Source organism: Homo sapiens, chromosome 10, assembly GCF_000001405.40.
Source record: "Homo sapiens chromosome 10, GRCh38.p14 Primary Assembly".
In the NCBI taxonomy this organism is placed as follows: Eukaryota; Metazoa; Chordata; class Mammalia; order Primates; family Hominidae; genus Homo; species Homo sapiens.
The window spans coordinates 68,388,207-68,408,630 of NC_000010.11; the positions used below are offsets into that span (position 1 = coordinate 68,388,207).

At 42.5% G+C, this 20,424-nt stretch overlaps 1 protein-coding gene across 25 annotated transcripts in view, besides 5 other annotated features; it reads right to left on the reverse strand.

The window, feature by feature from the left end:
• RUFY2 (RUN and FYVE domain containing 2) overlaps positions 1-19,071 on the reverse strand; it is a 66,166-nt gene extending 47,095 nt beyond the window's left edge. For 7 of the 25 annotated variants that reach the window (XM_005269956.5, NM_017987.5, XM_047425456.1 and 4 more), the window contains exons 1-7: positions 18,548-19,071; positions 16,465-16,638; positions 13,414-13,531; positions 8,574-8,675; positions 6,122-6,245; positions 5,869-5,930; positions 4,932-4,997 (exon numbers count right to left, since the gene is read on the reverse strand). In XM_005269956.5, coding sequence (XP_005270013.1) covers positions 4,932-4,997; positions 5,869-5,930; positions 6,122-6,245; positions 8,574-8,675; positions 13,414-13,531; positions 16,465-16,638; positions 18,548-18,656 — 755 coding nt within the window. In that variant the 5' untranslated portion in view covers positions 18,657-19,071. Of the gene's footprint in view, positions 1-4,931; positions 4,998-5,868; positions 5,931-6,121; positions 6,246-8,573; positions 8,676-13,413; positions 13,532-16,464; positions 16,639-17,238; positions 17,260-17,614 lie in introns of those variants that run through there. The other 18 variants (NR_103476.2, XM_047425446.1, NM_001330103.2 and 15 more) reach the window with 9 other exon arrangements.
• Positions 14,103-14,303: a silencer, noted in NCBI's record as "peak994 fragment used in MPRA reporter construct". NCBI's record gives its function as "represses an SCP1 promoter by STARR-seq MPRAs in K562 erythroleukemia cells {active_cell/tissue: K562}" and the evidence as "EXISTENCE:reporter gene assay evidence [ECO:0000049][PMID:32103011]".
• Positions 18,228-18,729: an enhancer, noted in NCBI's record as "H3K27ac hESC enhancer chr10:70166191-70166692 (GRCh37/hg19 assembly coordinates)". NCBI's record gives its function as "activates a minimal SCP1, AML or CMV promoter by ChIP-STARR-seq in naive and primed H9 embryonic stem cells {active_cell/tissue: H9 hESC(naive and primed)}" and the evidence as "EXISTENCE:reporter gene assay evidence [ECO:0000049][PMID:30033119]".
• Positions 18,730-19,229: an enhancer, noted in NCBI's record as "H3K27ac hESC enhancer chr10:70166693-70167192 (GRCh37/hg19 assembly coordinates)". NCBI's record gives its function as "activates a minimal SCP1, AML or CMV promoter by ChIP-STARR-seq in naive H9 embryonic stem cells {active_cell/tissue: H9 hESC(naive)}" and the evidence as "EXISTENCE:reporter gene assay evidence [ECO:0000049][PMID:30033119]".
• Positions 18,730-19,231: a biological region, named in NCBI's record as "H3K27ac hESC enhancer GRCh37_chr10:70166693-70167192".
• Positions 18,782-19,231: a silencer, noted in NCBI's record as "silent region_2419". NCBI's record gives its function as "represses an Ori minimal core promoter by ATAC-STARR-seq in GM12878 lymphoblastoid cells {active_cell/tissue: GM12878}" and the evidence as "EXISTENCE:reporter gene assay evidence [ECO:0000049][PMID:35858748]".

Below are 20,424 nucleotides of genomic sequence, written 5' to 3' on the forward strand. Positions count from 1 at the left end.
GTAATCCCAGCACTTTGGGAGGCCGAGGTTGGTGGATCATGAAGTCAGGAGTTTGAGACCAGCCTGACCAACATGGTGAAACCCTGTCTCTACTAAAAATACAAAAATTAGCCCAGCGTGGTGTTACGTGTCTGTAATCCCAGCTACTCGGAAGGCTGAGGCAGGAGAATTACTTGAACCTGGGAGGTGGAGGTTGCAATGAGCTGAGATCGCGCCATTGCATTCCAGCCTGGGCGACAAGACTAAGACTCCATAAAAAAGTGAATTCTACTTTTTTTCTATATGTTTTCTATATTTTGAAATATTCTAAAGGTACAATAACTACTTTTTATTAGAAAAACAATGAAAGGCCGGGTGCAGTGGCTAACATCTATAATACCAACACTTTAGGAGGCCACAGTGGGTGGATGGCCTAGCTCAGAAGTTTGAACCAGCCTGGGCAACATGGTGAAACCCCAGCTCTATGAAAAATAAAAAAAATTAGCTGGGTGTCGTGGCGCAAGCCTGTGCTCCCAGCTACTTGGTAGGCTGAGGTAGGAGGATCGCTTGAGCCTGGGAGGCAGAGGTTGCAGTGAGCCAAGATCAGGCCACTGCACTCCAGCCTGTGTTGACACCATGAGAACCCTGTCTCAAAAAAAAAAAAAAAAAGAAAAGAAAAGAAAAAGAAAAAGCAATGAAACACTTTTACTTTTATTTATTTATTTAGAAGCAGGGTCTCATCTGTCACCCAGGCTGGAGTGCAGCGGCACAAACTCAGCTCAGTGTAGCCTCAACCTCCAGAGCTCAAGTGATCTTCCCACCTCAGCCTCCTGAGCAGCTGAGACTACAGACACACAACACCATGACCAGCTAATTTTTTGTACTGTTTTGGGTGTATAGAGACAAGGTCTCACCATGTTGCCCAGGCTGGTCTCAGACTGCTGAGCTCAAGTGATCCTCCCACCTCAGCCTCCTAACATGCTAGATTACAGCATGCGCCACTGAGCCCGGTGCAATGAAACATTTATAAAACATAAGGTATACAAAAGTCAGACACCAGTATTGCTGTAACTGATTAACACACATGATTTAAACAACTGAGAATGAGAAAAGTCTTTTGAACTGGGCCGGCCACGGTGGCTCACGCCTGTAATCCCAGCACTTTGGGAGGCCGAGGTGGGTGGATCACGAAGTCAGGAGTTCAAGACCAGCCTAGCCAATATGGTGAAACCCTGTCTCTACTGAACGTGCAAAAAATTAGCTGGGCATGGTGGCAGGTACCTATAATCCCCTACTCAGGAGCCTGAGGCAGGAGAATCACTTGAAACTGGAAGGCGGAGGTTGCAGTGAGCCGAGATCACACCACTGCACTCCAGCCTGGGTGAAAGAGCGAAACTCTGTCTCGAAAAAAAAAAAGAAAATTATTTTGAACTGAATGGAATAACCCCAAGATAAATTGTTGGCCAGGCATGGTGGCTCACACCTGTAATCCCAGAACTTTGGGAGGCCCAGGCGGGTGGATTGCTTAAGCCCAGTAGGTGGAGGTTGCAGTGAGCTGAGACTGCACCACTGCACCCAAGCCAGGGACAACACAAAGAGCTCTCGTCTCAAAAAAAAAAGTGAAAATAGTAAGGTATAGAGTAGTGTGAAAGTATGCTACCTAATATGTAAGAAGAGGGAGAGGGAAGAGATATGAGAATAGATATACATATTATTGCTATGAGCATAAAGTATCTCTGGATACACAAGAACCTAATATATTAATTACTTGTGAAGAGGGAAACTAGATGGATGAAGATCAAGGAGAGGGAGACTTTTGTTTTATGTTCCTTTTGTGCCTTTTGAAGTTTGAGCCATATGAATATATTAATATTACCTGTTACCAAAAAGTGATTAGAAGTTTAAACATAAATAATTAAGAAACACAAGCTTGCATTTAGAAATACAATCTCAGAAATACAAATTACAAAATATACATATATTTCCTACGATTTCTATTAAAACTCCATTTAAAAAAGACTTATATGAAGTCTTTCCTATTTCTACTTTAGAGGAAAAGCAAGAGTCACAGCTTATTAGTTTCTTTTCCTAAAATGGAAAAATGTTTAATTGTATTTTCTGATTATAATACATATTCACTGAGTAGTACTCAGAAAATATAGAAAAGTACAAAGAATAAAATAAAAATTATTCATAATCCTATCACCCAGAGAATATTTTACTAATTATTAAATGTGATTAATGAAAACACTTCATTTCTAATTACATAGCAAATATTACTCGCTATACCTGTGCTGTCCAGTATGGCCGCCATGAGCCACATGTGGCTACTAAACACTTAAAAATGTGGCTAGTCCAAATTGAAATGTGCTGTAAGGGTAAAATATATATTGGATTTTGTAGACAGTGCCAAAAAAAAGAGAGTATAAAATATGTCATTAATAATAATTGTTTTTTAAGAGATGGGGGTCTCATTATGTTGCCCAGGCTTATCTCAAACTCCTGGGCTCAGGTGATCCTCTCGCCTCAGCCTCAAAGTAGCTAGGACTATAGACATGTACCACCATGCCAGGCTAATAATAGTTTTTTTTTTTTCTTTGAGACAAGGTCTCACTGTGTCACCGAGGCTGGAATGCAGTGATGCGATCATAGTTCACTACAGCCTTGAAGTCCTGGGCTCAAGAGATCTTCTTGCCTTAGCCTCCCAAAGTGCTGGGATTACATGCATGAGCCATCACACCTGGCCTAATTTTTTTTTTTTTTTTTTGAGATGGAGTCTCGTTACGTCGCCCAGGCTGGAGTGCAATGGCGTGATCTCGGCTCACTGCAATCTCCACCTCCTGGGTTCGAGCAATTCTCCTGCCTCAGCCTCCCGAGTAGCTGGAACTACAGGCACATGCCACCATGCCTGGCTAATTTTTGTATTTTTTAGTAGAGATGGGGTTTTACCATGTTGGCCAGGCTGGTCTCGAACTCCTGATCTCAAGTGATCCACATGCCTCGGCCTCCCAAAGTGCTGGGATTACAGGAGTGAGACATCGTGCCTGTACCCTAATTTTTATATTGATTGCATGTTGGAAGAATATTTGGGGAATACTGGGTAAAATAAAATATATTTTTAATTTTTGGGGTTTTTTTTACATTTTTATTATAGTTACCAGAAATTTTAAATTACTTATGTGGCTGGGCACAATGGCTCATGCCTGTAATTTCAGCACTTTGGGAGCCTGAGGTGGGAGGATTACTTTAACCCAGGAGTTGAAGACCAGCCTGAGCAACATGGTGAGACCTCATCTCTATGAAAAAATTTAAAATTACTAGGCATGGTGGTGCACACTTGTGGTCCCAGCTACTTGGGAGACTGAGGCAGGAGGACTGCTTGAGCCTGCAATGTCAAGGCTGTGGTGAGCTTGATCATGCCACTGCCCTCTACCCTCCAGCCTGGGCAACAGAGTGAGACCCTGTCTCAAAAAAAAAAAAAAAAAAAAAAAAGGCCAGGTGTGGTGGCTCACGCCTGTAATCCTAGGACTTTGGGAGGCAGAGGCAAGTGGATCACCTGAGGTCAAGAGTTCGAGACCAGCCTGGTCAACATGGTGAAACCCCGTTTCTACTAAGAATACAAAAAAATTAACTGTGCGTGGTGGTGGGCACCTGTAATCCCAGCTACTCGGGAGGCTGAGGTAGGAGAATCGCTAGAACCCTGGGGGCAGGCAGAGGTTGCAGTGAGCTGAGACGGTGCCATTGCACTCCAGCCTGGGCAACAGAGTGAGACTCTGTCTCAAAAAAACAAACAAACAAACAAACAAACAAAAAAACTATGCATCTCATATATTTCTTTCTTTTCTTTTTTTTTTTTGAGACGGAGTTTCACATTTCACTTTTGTTGCCCAAGCTGCAGTGCAATGGCACGATCTCGACTCACTGCAACCTCCACCTCCTGGGTTCAAGTGATTCTCCTGCCTCATCCTCCCGAGTAGCTGGGATTACAGGTGACCGCCACCACCCCTGGCTAATTTTTGTTTTTTTTAGTAGAGACAAGGTTTCACCATACTGGGCAGGCTGGTCTCAAACTCCTTACCTCAGGTGATCCACCCGCCTCGGCCTTCCAAAGTGGAATTACAGGCATGAGCCACTGCGCCTGGCCACATCTCATATATTTCTATTAGAATTGCACTTTGCTATTTTACATACAGGTCTCAAAAATTCTTCTCAACAAGAGTATTCACTGATGGCTTCAATGACCAGTTGACAATGTAAGAAAGCAAAAATTTCCACCACAGAAGATGACAGACAGCCACATTTACATATGAAGCCCTTTGAAGTAGGAAAAATGAATTTCTGAACCATCAAACTGATACAAACTTTTACCTTAGCCTTTTTTGTCAAGGGTACAGCAATAAGTTTTAAGTTCTATTTAAATCTGATGAAGATTCTGTATTAAAAACCTGACTCTCGGGCCAGGCGTGGTGGTTCACGCCTGTAATCTCAGCACTTTGGGAGGCCAAGGCGGGCAGATCACAGGGTCAGGAGATTGAGACCATCCTGGCCAACGTGGTGAAACCCCGTCTCTACTAAAATACAAAAAAAAAAAAAAAAATTAGGTGTGGTGGTGCGCGCCTATAGTCCCAGCTACTCAGGAGGCTGAGGCAGGGGAATCACTTGAACCTGGGAGGCGGAGGTTGCAGTGAGCTGGGATCATGCCACTGCACTCCAGCCTGGCAACAGAGTGAGACTTCATCTCAAAAAAAAAAAAAAAAAAAATTCTGACTCTCATTTTCTGCTTAAAATGAATTATCTCCAATAATTCTCTGTATTCTTACTTTCCATTTTCTCTCTATCCCCTCAACCCCTTCTCAAAGACTCTTAGAAGAAAGGAATACGGTAAGCTGAAGGGAAAAAAACAAAAACCTAAGACAATATTCATAAATGTGCTAAGTATCCATAATACTTACTTCAGTTGTCTATTTAATTCTTCAACATAATTCTTTTGGTCTAATATGGCAGCAATTTGAACATTCCTAAATGAGGAAAAAAGTAGCTTTGTGCTAGTTGAAAAGGTATTTATTAAGCACAAAAAAATCTAAATCATCTAAAATTATTATAAAACTAAAATAATAAAACATTGTCTTGCCTTTAAAATAAAACATAAGAATAATAGTAAACTGTGTACTAAGTATCTATAACCTTTGTTGAATAAATTACTTGCTAATAATACACTTAACAATACCATTAGTGTATTTTTAAATTTAAACATAATTAGGGCCGGGCACAGTGGCTCATTCCTGTAATCCCAGCACTCTGGGAGGCCGAGGCAGGCAGGTCACTTGAGTCCAGGAGTTCAAAACCAGTCTGGCCAACGTGGTGAAACCCTGTCTCTACTAAAAATAACAAAAATTAGCCAGGCATGGTGGCGGGTGCCTGTAATTCCAGCTACTGGGGAGACTGAGGCAGAAGAATCGCTTGAACCCAGGAGGCGGAGGTTGCAGTGAGCCAAGATAGAACCACTGCACTCCAGCCTGGGCAACAGAGCAAGACTGTGTCTCAAAAAAAAAAAAACATAGTTCGATCTTGAAGTAAACCAGTATTTGCAAACTTGTGAATAATAAGCTTTCATCTCTTTTATTCCAAAAAACCACTATTAAAATGGGTCTCAGTAACTACAGGTATAACCAAAGGTCCCACTTCATACTATTAATAAAACCTCCTTCTCCTAAGTGATTTTCCATAATCTGCTTTGTAAAGCTTGTAATGGAAGTGAAAATGAAATGAAGAAGTCACAGGGGGGAAAACAACAAAATAAAACCACACTGTAAATAGATGGATCTTATAATGATTTGTAAAGAGCTATATAAAAAACCCAATATGTGAAATAACTTATGAAAATCATACCTTTCTTTATTTCCAATATCTTCTTCATTCTTTAAATACATAGAAAAATCAATCACTCCAACCTGAAGTAAATAAAGTTTTTTTTAATTTAAAGGGGAGAAAATACTTTATCAGAAGTACCTTTACTGAATGTTACTCTTAATATTCCTTTAGTGTTTAACAGTCCTGTTTACAACTTCAAATGACACCTGATCAAGGAGGAACTGTGCAAACTGAAAACACTCTGCATTTGGCACTAGTCACTTTCACTTACTTGTGAGTCTAAATCCTCTCCCTTCACACACAGATTAGCATCGATCACATTCAGGCCAACCAGCAGCCCAACAATTACTGCTCCTTCTTCTTCCATCATTAGTGCGTGATACTCATAAAACTCACTGTGAAAATTTAAAAAATAAGGACTTTAAATCACAAATTTATTTCAAAAACTAAAATTTAAAATCACCATTATCTTCCTAATCTTCTACCTTACAGAAATGGAAGCCATCTCAGTTAGGTGCCTTCAAATTAGCCTTTATACGTGTGAATAACTTTTTATATTTTTTATTTTTTATTTATTAATTTTTTTTTTTTGAGACGAAGTCTTGCTCTTTCACCCAGGCCGGACTGCAGTGGCACTATCTTGGCTCACTGCAAGCTCTGCCTCCCGGGTTCACACCATTTTCCTGCCTCAGCCTCCTGAGTAGCTGGGACTACAGGTGCCCGCCACCGCACCCGGCTAATTTTTTGTATTTTTAGTAGAGACGGGGTTTCACCGTGTTAGCCAAGATAGTCTCGATCTCCTGACCTCATGGTCCGCGGGCCTCAGCATCCCAAAGTGCTGGGATTACAGGCGTGAGCCACCGCGCCTAGCCAACTTTTCATATTTTTTAAATTTAAATGTCTCTATTGAAAAATCAAAAGGACTGAAGGAGATAAAAGAGGGAAATTTTTTTTGAGAGAGAGAAAAGAGGAGCAAGGAGGGATGAAAAGAAAAAGTGGCACGAGACACGGTGGCTCACGCCTGTAATCCCAGCACTTTGGGAGGCCAAGGCGGGAGGATCACTTGAAGTCAGGAGTTCAAGAGCAACCTGGCCAACATGGTGAAACCTCATCTCTACTAAAACTACAAAAATTAGCCAGGCGTGGTGGCACACGCCTGTAATTCCACCTACTCGGGAGGCTGAGACAGGAGAATTGCCTGAACCCAGGAGGCAGAGGTTGCAGTGAGCCAAGATCGCACCACTGCACTCCAGCCTGGGCAACAGAACAAGACTCCATCTCAAGAAAATAAAAAAAAAAAAAGAGGCAACACTGAGCCCTGGGACGTTTCTGACTCAGATGGATATAGTGACTGCTGCTGATCTGATTATGATATATTTTATTAGAGTTGAATTTTCAATCCTCGGATTTATTAAGACCCTTGGGATAAAGACTAAGGTAGAAAATGAACATATGCAACATTTCAAAGTCCATGTTCAAGTCAATGCATTTGATAGGTATATTATAAATCTTAATAGATAATCATCAATTAAAGACACTTTGGGATATCTACATTCTAAAAACTGTTGAAAAAGAGAGTTGTGAAAGAAATAGGACAGTTCAAAAACTAAGTCTCACCAACATACATTCAGAGAAGTAGTTATCACTGTCTCATGCCTTCTTTAATAAGGCCCATGTACATTATTTAATCACTTTAATTATCCTTCAGAATATTGAGAAGCCATGGGTGCTTAACATATGGTCATTCTCGTTTAACAACTGGGAAAACCACAATGTAAAACCAGCATCACAAGTAAAACCAAAACCAGGACTAAATTCTCCACAACATCAGAGAGGCACTCTAACAGAACAAGAATGAATGGAGGACCACCATGGGCCCACTCCCTTGGAGAACTGATTGCCTTGCTTTGAAAATCTGTCTTAAATAAATGTTTGGCCTTCGTTTTATTTTATTTTTTTGAGACAGGGTCTCACTCTTATCACCCAGGCTGGAGTGCAGTGGCGCGATCTCAGGTCACTGCAACCTCCCTCTACCGGGTTCATGTGATTCTCCTGCCTCAGCCTCCCAAGTAGCTGAGATTACAGGCATGCGCCACCACACCCAGCTAATTTTTGTGTTTTTAGTAGAGACGGGGTTTCACCACGTTGGTCTCGAACTCCTGACCTCAAGTGATCCACCTGCCTCGGCCTCCCACAGTGCTGGGATTACAGGCGTGAGCCACCACACCCAGCCAAAATAAATGTTTGGACTTCAATTTAAACTGTGCCCACAATACAGGTGAAGCAATAATATGGATATTCAAATTCTAAAAAAAAAAACAAAAAACAAAAAGCCTATGAAATTAAAGCCACAAATTCCAACACAAATTTTTATCCATAGAATTAACCATATTCAGAAAAATAAAACTAACAGAAATGTATTATATACGGCAGTTTCCAGGCAGGGCAAAAGAAAAAATTTTTAAACAAAGAGGAAGAAATGTAATATATATAAATTTCCCCATCCTGGCTGATAACAAAGCTTATGGTATTCATATGTAAGGCTAGTTCCTGATCCATGTTATGTCTCTATCATGTTTTTCTGTCTCATTTTGCTCCTCCTCTTATTTTATATCATTTTATTATATGTTATATATCCTTTCATATTACATCTTAAATCCTTTTTGGAAGACAGCATATAAATAAAATAAAAAATGAAAAGATCACGACTTAATAGTACTAACCTCAAGAGATCCCTCTGAATAATTAAGCAACGTAAGTAATCGGCCATTTTTTTTTGCATGAGGGCTAATCGAAGCCACGCTCTTGCTCGACCCAGAGGGGTCCTAAAGAGAAGAACCAATTGATCAGAAAACAGCCCTAGCCCAAAGATCACATCTTCTGTCTCTAGAGGTAAACATTAACAAGGAAAAAGGGCATTTTTATAATGGTTTTGTTTTCATTTTTATAGGTTTATCTTTTTGAGCACACAAACCAATCCCTGAGAGCTGGGTAAATCTGTTCCTCCTGTAGGACATCCAGGTACTATTTAATGTCTTGGAAGAAATGACTCTCTAAACACAGTAGTGTGTCACTTAATGATACTTTCAGAAAAATGCGTTGTTAGGTAATTTCATCATGGAGTGTACATTTGCAAACCTAGATGGTATACACACCTATGCTATATAGTATACCCTATTGTTCCTAGGCTGTAAACCTATATAGCATGCTACTGTACTGAATGCTGTAGGCAATTATTAACCAATTGTTAACTATTTGTGTATCTAAACACAGCTAAACATGGAAATGGTAAAGTCAAAATACAGTATTATAATCTTTTGGAACCACCATCATTTAATGAAATGTTATGCAGCCCAGGACTCTGGTGAGAATACTTCTATAAGAAATATTTAGGTGGGCACGGTGGCTGACACCTGTCATCCCTACACTTTGAGAGGTCAAGGTGGGAGGATCACTTGAATCCAGGAGTTAGAGAACAGCCTGGACAACATAGGGAGACCCTGTCTCTATATAAAAAAAATAAATTAATTAAATTTAAAAATAAAAAAAATTAAAAAAGTGAAAAAAAATCAAAATGCCAGGTGTGGTGGCATGTGCCTGTATTCCCAGCTACTCAGGAGGCTGAGACAGGAGGTTGCTTAAGCCCAGTAGGCAGAGGCTGCAGTGAACAGTGATTGCATCACTGTACTCAAGCCTGGGTGATAGAGTGAGACCCTGTCTCAGAAAAAAAAAAGAAATATTTAGTCTGAATGAGCTTAGCCCTCTAAAAATAAATATTAAAACTTCACCAGGCCGGGCCCAGTGGCTTACACCTGTAATCCCAGCACTTTGGGAGGCCGAGGCGAGCGGATCACAAGGTCAGGAGTTCGAAAGAAGCCTAGCCAACATGGTGAAACCCCGTCTCTACTAAAAACACAAAAAATAGCTGGGCTTGGTGGTGGGTGTCTGTAATCCCAGCTATTCAGGAGGCTGAGGCAGGAGAATCACTGGAACCCGGGAGGCGGAGGGTACAGTCAGGCAAGATTGCACCATCGCACTCCAGCCTGGGCAACAAGGTAAGATTTGTTCTCAAAAAAAAAAAAAAAAAAAAAAAATTCTACAATAAGGCACCATAATGCCTTCAAAAACATAGGTAACATTATATCTGAATTTTAAAAATCATAACAAAGCTAAGAGGGTGCCAGGCTAGTAATTAAAGAGAAATCACTGTGCTGCTTACTGGTTTTCAAATGTTTCTTTAATTTGGTTGCATTTAAGAAATTAAATCTCATACCTCTCTTACCCAAGTTCTATCTGTTATTAAAAATAAAAGTGGCCTGGCGTGGTGGCTCACGCCTGTAATCCCAGCACTTTGGGAGGCCAAGGCGGGTGGATCACTTGAGGTCAGGAGTTCATGACCAGCCTGGCCAACATGGTGAAACCCCGTCTCCACTAAAAATACAAAAATTAGCCAGGCACAGTGGCATGAGCCCGTAATCCCAGCTACTCGAGAGGCGGAGGCAGGAGAATCGCTTGAACCCAGGAGGTGGAGGTTGCAACGAGCCAAGATCCCGCCACTGCACTCCAGCCTGGGCAACAGAGACAGACTCAGTCTCCATAAAATATAATAATAATTTTTTTAAAAAGCAACTTTTATACCACTTTTTTTTTTTAAAGAGAGTGGTATCATTCACACTTTTATATTTTCTTATGCAGAGAACATTTTGGCAGATAGTACAGGAAGAGACTTGATCTTCACTTCTAATAATTAACGCATTTCTTATAGCTTAGCATTTTAATGAACACCATCAGAAAACAGGTTTTACTATTGTAGAGTCTGGCTTTTTAACAAAATATGAATACATATTTTCATATTAAAATGAATCAAATCTTACATTTTTGTTTTTGAGAGTTGAAATTCTGTTTTTCCTCTTTGTTAAAAATCTTTACACCTGATATACCAAAAATATCAATTGTGAACAAATATCATTTGATTTTTTTTTTTTTCCAATTTTTTTTGGTGGGGGAGACAAAGTCTCACTCTGTCACCCAGGCTGGAGTGTAGTGATACGACCTTGGCTCACTGCAACTTCTGCCTCCTGGGTTCAAGCAATTATCCTGCCTCAGCCTCCCGAGTAGCTGGGACTATAGGCGTGCACCACCACACCCAGCTAATTTTTTTGTATTTTTAGTAGACATGTGGTTTCGCCATGTTGCCCAGGCTGGTCTCGAACTCTTGGGCTCAGGCAATCCACCCATCTCAGCCTCCAAAGTTCTGGGATTATAGGCGTGAGCCACCACACCCAGCCACTTTATATTTAACTCTAAAAACTGGGTTTAAATCCTGCCTCTGCCACTTTTTAACTATAATTTATCTGGCATTTATTTTTCACATCTATACAATTATAATAATAACCTCTACCTGTAAGACTGATTTAAGCACTAAAGGAGATAATTCATGTAAAACAGGTACCTTATTACTCTAACACAGTGCTCAACAGTAGCCACTTACTTTTATCACTCAATAAATTCCAATTTACAAACATTTGAACATTTGAACATTCAACAACAAAATAACAGCAAAACACTACCATATTCCCCACAACATATATAAACCCTAAGTTGTAAAACTATGAGAAAACAAACGATTAACCTTACAGAAAATGCTTAATGCAAAAAAAGTTATCTCATTAACAAGAATTAAGATAAACTAAAGGGAGGCTGGGCGCTGTGGCTCACGCCTGTAATACCAGCACTTTTTTTGAGACAGAGTTTCTCTCTTATTGCCCAGGCTTGAGTGCAATGGCGTGATCTCAGCTCACTGCAACCTCTGCCTCCCGGGTTCAAGCAATTCTCCTGCCTCAGCCTCCCAAGTAGCTGGGATTACAGGCATGTGCCACCACACCGGCTAATTTTGTATTTTTAGTAAAGACAGGCTTTCTCCATTTTGGTCAGGCTGGTCTCGAACTCCCAACCTCAGGTGATCCGCCCACCTCGGCCTCCCAAAGTGCTGGGATTACAGGCCTGAGCCACTGCGCTGGGCCAATTCCATCACTATTGAGGACAGGAGTTCAAGACCAGCCTGGTCAATATGGCAAAACCCCCATCTCTACTAAAAATACGAAAATTAGCCAGGTATGGATGGTGGCACATGCCTGTAATCCCAGCTACTTGGGAGGCTGAGGCACGAGAATCACTTGAACCTGGGAGGCAGAGGTTGCAGTGAGCCGAGATTGCACCACTGCACTCCAGTCTGGGCAACAGGGTGAGACTGTCCGTCTCAAAATAAAATAAAATAAACAAAGACAAACAAAAGAGAACACTTACATTTTAATTACACTCTAAAGAATATAAGAACTGGTCAGGCACGGTGGCTCACGCCTGTAATCCCAGCACTTTGGGAGGCCAAGGCGGGCGGATCACAAGGTCAGGAGATCAAGACCATCCTGGCTAACATGGTGAAACCCCGTCTCTACTAAAAATACAAAAAATCAGCCAGGCATGGTGGCATGCACCTGTAATCCCAGCTACTCGGGAGGCTGAGGCAGGAAAGTTGCTTGAACCCATGAGGCGGAGGTTGCAGTGAGCTGAAATCGCACCACTACACTCCAGCCTGGGCAACACAGCAAGACTCCATCTCAAAAAAAATAAAGAAAATAAAAATTAAAAAGAAAACTAAAAAAAAAAAGAATATAGGCTTGGCGCGGTGGCTCACGCCTGTAATCCCAGCACTTTAGGAGGCTGAGGCAGGCGGATCACGAGGTCAGGAGATCGAGACCATTCTAGCTAACATGGTGAAACCCGATCTCTACTAAAAATACAAAAAAATTAGCCGGGCGTGGTGGCGGGCGCCTGTAGTCCCAGCTACTCGGGAGGCTGAGGCAGGAGAATGGGGTGAACCCGGGAGGTGGAGCTTGCAGTGAGCCGAGATCGTGCCACTGCACTCCAGCCTGGGCGACAGAGCGAGACTCCGTCTCAAAGAAAAAAAGAATTTAAGAACTGAGTCTTAACACTTTACACCTACAAAAAATTTTAAATACTCATGAAAGTATTCTTAGCTAACATACTCCAACTTTTAAGACATTTTACATACATTTGTCTGATGAAACAGGCTGGTGACATTATAGGTACCAATTTTCAGAGGAAGCAAAGAAATGTACACCAGTCCTAGGGTATACAACTGGCTTATCTGAGAACTGGAATATCCTGAGCCTGTGCCCTGGATTCAGCCTAAATCAGTCTTTCCTCAATACTTACTGACTTTCTACTACAGGCAAACTAATTTAACACTCAGAAAACAAAGATGCATAACTGATATATCCTATCTTAAAAGGACTTTCAATTTCCTACAATACAAGGCAGAATGGTGAGTGGTTAATTTTGATCGAAGAGGCTAAGAAAAACTTCATAAAGGAAATGGGATTTGAGTTGAGCCATAAAGAATGAACATAATTTTATTATAAGAGGATTAGAAGAAGGGGACTTAAGACTAAGAGAAGACAATAAGCTAGAGTGTGAGGTACTTTGGAGGAACAATGAATACACTTCTGTGGCTAGGGATGAACAAGTAATAGGCCTCCTTACTTCAGACCAGGTAGATCCCGGACACTAGCTCCTATTTCCTCTGCTTCGGGGTACAGCTTCTCCACCAGTTCCAAAGGGCCCCAGATGGTTTTGTTGTAACTCAAAAATGATTTTCTTACTGAAAAAAAGAACACATAATGCACACAATGTCAACATAAAAAACTGTAGTAACTTATTTTTAAATATTTAGTTTCAACATTTCTAACTTAACATACAATTATTCAGAGATCTTTCCTCTTTTATCCACTACATATCCCAGTGGATCTGGAGCCTGTGCCAGTAGGATCCTGTTGCCCATCCTGCTATTTTTTTCCACATGATAAAAAGACACAGTGACCATTCTTTCATATCAAATATGCAGTAAGGTAATTAAAGTGAAAAATGACTGCACTCATTCTCTACCAATACCAAAATAAAGGCTGGTGGCCCTAGCTGATTGATCTTTATAAGTTTATTAAACAAACCAAGCACAAATAAAAAGTTATTTTATTTTTTATAATGCCTTTTTTTTTTTTAGTAAGTAGAGATGGCATTTTGCTATGTTGACCAGGCTGGTCTTGAATTCCTGGCCTCAAGCGTTCCTCCTATCTTGGCCTCCCAAAGTGCTGGCTGGGATTACAGGCATGAACCACCACGCCCAGCCTAAGAAGTTATTTTAATTTTAAATATGAAAAATTGTGAATTTCCTTTTCCTTGTATTTTATTCTGAGATTTGGTCAATATAAAACCATGAAATTGCCATACATTTTTGTTATTACTGACCAGATCTCCTGCAAATACAGGGTGCCTATCATATACACTACCCAAGGACACCCAAGATAGGCAATTTTTCCCAGGGGGAGAAAAGCACACGCACAAAGTAGCTTTATAATGATTCATCCAGATAAGCCTATAACTGCTAGGACATGGTTCAACATAAGTTGTGAAGTAAAGGAAATACAGTCTAAAAATAGTTTAAAATTTAACTATTTTGGCCATAATTTGGCAAACTCCATTTCAGCAGTCTTGGGGAAAATCAAGATGCACTCCTGATTTTTTCTGAAATCAAGATGCACTCCTGATTTTTTGAAAATCAAGTCTCACTCCAGAGTGAGACCCCCATCTCAAAAAAAAAAAGAGGAGCATGGTTAAATTATGCCATATACATACCATAAAATATCGCACAGCTATTAATTCTGATACAGATGTCTATGTAAATGGAAAGATCTCCAAGCCATATCTTTTTTTTTTTTTTTTTTTTTTGAGACAGAGTCTCACTCTGTGTCTCCCAGACTGGAGTGCAGTGGCATGATCTCAGCTCACTGCACCCTCTGCCTCCCAGGTTCAAACAATTCTCCTGCGTCAGCCTCCCAAGTAGCTGGGACTACAGGCATGCAGCACCACACCCAGCTAATTTTTGTATTTTTAGTAGAGATGGGGTTTCACTATGCTGGCCAGGCTGATCTCGAACTCCTGACCTCAAGTGATCCGTCAGTCTCAGCCTCCCAAAGTCCTGAGATTACAGACATGAGCCATCGCACCCAGCCACTTTTTTTTTTAAAGAAGGAAGTCACAGAATAATGCTAATAGCATGATTACAATTACAGTTAAAGAAAAAAAAAACAGAAAAGGGATAACAGAATATCTAATTCTCCCATTTTCTTTCTTTTGAGACAGAGTCTCACTCTGTCACCCTGGGCTGGAATGCAGTGGCACGATCTCAGCTCACTGCAACCTCCGCCTCCCAGGTTCAAACAATTCTCCTGCCTCAGCCTCCTGAGTAGCTGGGATTACAGGCGAACACCACCAGCCTGGCTAATTTTTGTATTTTTAGTAGAGATGGGTTTTCACCATGCTGGCCAGGTTGGTCTTGAACTCCTGACCTCAAAGTGACCCACCCACCTCAGCCTCCCAAAGTGCTGGGATTACAGGTGCCCAATTTCCTTTAGAGAGGTTAATAGAAGAGAATGAATAAAAACCATGTTTTGCTCTGTGTACTTCTCTGTTGTTTATGTACAAAAAGAGTATCTTTCGCTAGTATTTATACATTTTAAGAAATTGCTTTAAGTCTCTAAAGAAAAAGAAATGAGTATGCTAATAACATCACACAGGATTTCTCAAATTTTGATGTCAAGGCTTCCTTCTTGTTTTGAAGTACTTTTTATTAAAACAAAGTTTAGGTAAATCTTTGAATCTTTTTTTTTTTTTTTTGAGAAAGGGTCTCTCTCTGTTGTCCAGGCTGGAGTACAGTGCTACACTCAGAGTTCACTGAAGCCTCGACCTCCTCAGGCTAAGGTGATCCTCCCACTTCAGCCTCTCGAACAGCTGGGACCACAGGCATATGCTGGGATTACAGGCATTAAGCCACCGTGTCTGGCCAGTCAAGCTTCTTTTACTCTATAATAGTCACTCTAGTGTACAACTCTTACATAGCCCTCTACATAGATACTCATCGTATGAACTAGAGGCCAAAACTGTGAACAGTTATTATAAGTAAAAGCACAGTTATTATGCAATGAATATTTTTAAATTAAATATAAAACCAACATTTTATATGTAACAATAATTCAATATGTACTGAGAGTGGAGTACAATATCTGCTGTTATCATCTTCAGGGATGGCTCACATTTCTACAATAACTCCATCCAGAAGATATTTCTACATATGTTCGTGTATATATCTAGGAGGTTTCTATTTCAACAATCCACTATTTCAATGCAGTTGTTCAACAGGGTTCGAACTATTAATATGAGCTCATAACAGTATCACCAGCTTTAAAAAATAACTCTATAATTGTCCTAGAAAACAAAATAATTCAGATTATGTGTTTAAAAAATTAAAAAATCAAATATTCTGTTTACAAAATATTAACAATTAAGCATTTTCTGAAGACCATTTATTATTCCATTATTAGAAAACATAGTCATAAGATATTTTCTCCCAAAATCAATCCACTCAATATTTTTTAGTGCACAGTAACGTAATTATGGCCTCAAAAAATAACCCATTCTCAAGGGCACTTGAAAAACGGAAATTCTAAAATGAATTAATTTTTTAAAATCTCATGATACCTTTAAGACCGTGTTTCAGGCAATGTTCCATAACAACAAAGAATTGCTGCAAGGGGGGATAGTCAGAATCCAAAGTGCGGCCAAAGCTCAGAGCAGATTCAATGAGTCCTTTGATACTCAGTTTAGCCATGTTTAACAAGTTTGCTCTCTCTACAGCTGTGGGGTCTTTTGTAGCTGAAAACACAAGAAAGGAATCCAACATCATTTGTAAGACATGACAATGAAAAATATACAAACCATTCCCTTCCCCTATAAAAACCAACAGTAGTTTGCTGTTCCTTGGTTGACAAATTCTCCCCAGCTAAACCACACCCTTGATTAACTTCTCTTTACATCTCTCACATATACTGTAAAAAATTTCCGGCCAGGCGCGGTGGCTCACGCCTGTAATCCCAGCACTTTGGGAGGCCAAGGCGGGTGGATCATGAGGTCAAGAGATTGAGACCATCCTGGCCAACATGGTGAAACCCCGTCTCTACTAAAAATACAAAAATTAGCTGGGCATGGTGGTGCGCGGCTGTAGTCCCAGCTACTCGGGAGGCTGAAGCAGGAGAGTCACTTGAACCCAGGAGGCGGAGATTGCAGTGAGCTGAGATAGCGCCACTGCACTCCAATCTGGTGACAGAGCGAATCTCCGTCTCACAAAAAAAAAAAAAAGAAAAAGAAAGAAAGAAAGAAAAAAGAAAATTTCCATGACCACTCCAGCCAAAGTTAATGAATTATTCTCAAGATCCTGCAAATCTGCCATTCTCCTGTATTTAACTTTCCTGGTACCTCTTCATAGAGAATGAGTTTTTTAAAATGATCTTCTATGGAGATAAATTTGGGGTGAGAGACAACAGGTTTAAGGGCCTCATGCAAAAGGTAGATAGCAGGTACGGTCTTAGGATGAATTCCAAGGCAAAAATGTTCAGAATAAACTGGCAATAAAATAAAAGGTAGTTAAAATTCTAGGATTCCAGTGTCATCCACAACAAACATGACAGGTAAAATACACTGACAAGGGGACACAGAAGAAGCCGTCCAATTCTTTCGTCTACCCTCTTTCTGTCTGGCTTCTTCATTCTGACTGTAGTTCTGTATTGCATGACTGTTTTATTTTCAAAGAGAAAATAAAAGCAGAGACCAGTTTTACATTAATGTTCCTCACCCATCCACACAGTTGAGGATGCCCACAGCGCCAGTCTGAATACCAAGTTAATAGATGCAAATTCTAAAAGGCCTGATTTTTAATTGATATTTTTAAGACACAGTATCATCAAGTAAGATATTTTCAATTCACAAAAATATTGTCCTCCTTCCCGCAAATTTTATTCTCAGTTTACTTAGAAATTCAGACGCTTCCCCATCATCTCATCACTGTTGTGACTGGTGGGAATACCTTCAACAAACACAGATGACAAAACTAAGGTGTGGAAAAACGAAGCACTTAGTATAACATTTCATAATCTCTGACAAATTTACAAGTAATCAATGTGCCCGTTTTTCCTTCACTGAACAACAACAACAACAAAAAACCCAGAGTCTCCAATGATCTAGTATTCCAGCTCCGATTTCTAGATAGCTAGGCATGAAGCCTGACACTGAATCCTAAGCAACCTAAAATGCAAACAGCCACAACTGCTATGGCCAAACTGCCTGGTGGAAAAATGTCCACACACGAATTCCTTCAAATCTGCATCGTGGTCTGACTCCCACTATTTTTCGGGAGTGAAACCACTTCATGTTTCATAATCCGTGGCAACTCTCATTTTTAACACAGCCCATCATAATTCCTAACGTGCGATGCGACAACCACACAAAGGGTGTTTTGCAGCTGCTGGGAGGCAGATCGGTGCTGGGCACCGGCAGTTCCCACGCCGAGGGGCGTTCACACCGCGGCCACGCCCCGGCTGCGCTACAGGACTTCTCCGGCCCGTACGCGACCCCCAAACCCGGCCGCAGGCGCGCAAGGAGTACCAGGGCCAGTGCCCGCACCTTGCCGGGGCCTAGAGCCCCTTCCCTGCCTCTCTTCCTGCCCCCTCCCCCCAGCAAGGCTGCCCAGAGGCCTGGGGGCCCCCCAGGACCATCGCGGCGGGCTCACCCAGGCTCCTGCGCGTCAGCATTCCCCGTCTCCCGCCCTCGGCGTCAGGCACCCAGGCCAAAACCTGAGATGCGTCTTCCCTCCGCCACCCCCAAACCTGAAAAGTCATCGCCCCTCCCCGCCTGCTCCCCGACCCGGGAGTGACACCCTGCCTGGCCCTGTCCTCGCTCCTGGACGCCGTGGCACCTCGAGCCCTCGGCCACTATGCCTCAGAACCCGGGCGGGAACGGGCCGGAACAAGGGAGGGGGCGCGTTGCCATGACGACCCCGGGAGCCCCCGAGTCCCAGGCAGTCCCCGCCCATCCTGGGTTCGGGCCCCAGTTCCGACTGGCGGCCTCGGCGTCTCCCCCAGCTCCCAGTCCACCCCGCCTGGCCGCGGCCCTCAGCCCGGGACTGAGGGCCTAGCGTTCGGTTTCGGCCCGCTCGCCTTACCCATGGCGGCGGCGGCTGCGCGGTCTCGGGCGGAGGCTCCCTCGGCCTGTCCAGCAGCTCCTTCCAGGCGCTCGGCGGCCACCACCGCATCTGCAGCCAGGCCCGCTGCAGCCCACAGCGCCCCCGGCGGCGGGAGGGCGCCCGGGCGGCCCCAGGGGGAGCGGCGCCCCGGGCGGGGCGGGGACCCGCGGACCCTGCGGCGGGCGGGAGAGAAGCCCGCCGTCTCTAAGCCTCCTCGCATCCGCTGGGACCGCGAGGAGAAGGAAAGGAACGTGAAGGAGACCACATGTGTGAGGAGCCAGAGTGCTGGGCCCTCGGTCCCGTGTCCCGGGGGCTTCGCTGGAGCGCGAAGGCCGGATTTCAAGGGGCGGCCGGCCACACGCAAACGTTGCTTCCACCGGGCTGGTGGGGCCTGATCTAACACGCCTGACTACTGCCCATTCACCTTCACAAACACAAAGGGGACCAAAAGAATTTAGAAAATCTGAAGCAATTAACAGTAGGCAGAAACCTAATAAAACTAGTTAGTCCCAAATTACGACTTTTTTTTGTTTTTTGGGTTGTTTTTTTTTTTTTTTTTTTGAGATGGAGTCTCGCTCTGTCACCAGGCTGGAGTGCAGTGGCGTGATCTTGGCTCACTGCAAACTCTGCCTCCCGGGTTCAAGGGATTCTCCTGCCTCAGCCTCCTGAGTAGCTGGGATGACAGGCGCGCGCCACCCCGCCCGGCTAATTTTTGTATTTTTAGTAAAGACGGGGTTTCACCATGTTGGCCAGGGTGGTCTCGATCTCTTCACCTGGTGATCCGCCCATCTCGACCTCCCAAAGTGCTAGGATAACGCCTGAGCCACACAGCCCGCCCTAAAACAATTTGGTAAAGCTCATTACAAAAAGCTAAAGTGAAAAAAGAGAGAAAACAATTCAAAAATATTTCATTATGTGCCACAGCAATATCCACACAAGCACTAAAATTCAGACCTCGGCTGGGTATGGTGGCTCATGCCTGTAATCCCAGCACTTTGAGAGGCTGAGCTGGATAGATCACGAGGTCAGGAGTTCGAGACCAGCCTGACCAACATGGTGAAACTCCGTCTCTACTAAAAATACAAAATTTAGGCAGACGTAGTGGCATGTTCCTGTAGTCCCAGCTACTCGGGAGGCCAAGGCGGGCGGATCACCCGGTCAGAAGTTCGAGACCAGTCTGGCTAACATGGTGAAACCTCATATCTACTAAAAATACAAAAATTAGCCGGGCGTGGTGGCGCGTGCCTGTAATCCCAAGATTCCGTCTCAAAAAAAAAAAAAAAAAAGTCAGACTTCATCCCTGGATCCATCTTGGTTCACATTTCCCAGGATTATGAGCCCTAGTCATCGTAAGGGCCAGTAGTGACTCAAGTGGAATTAGATAGGCATATCCTATTAGCTAGAAGAGATTTTTTATTTTTTTC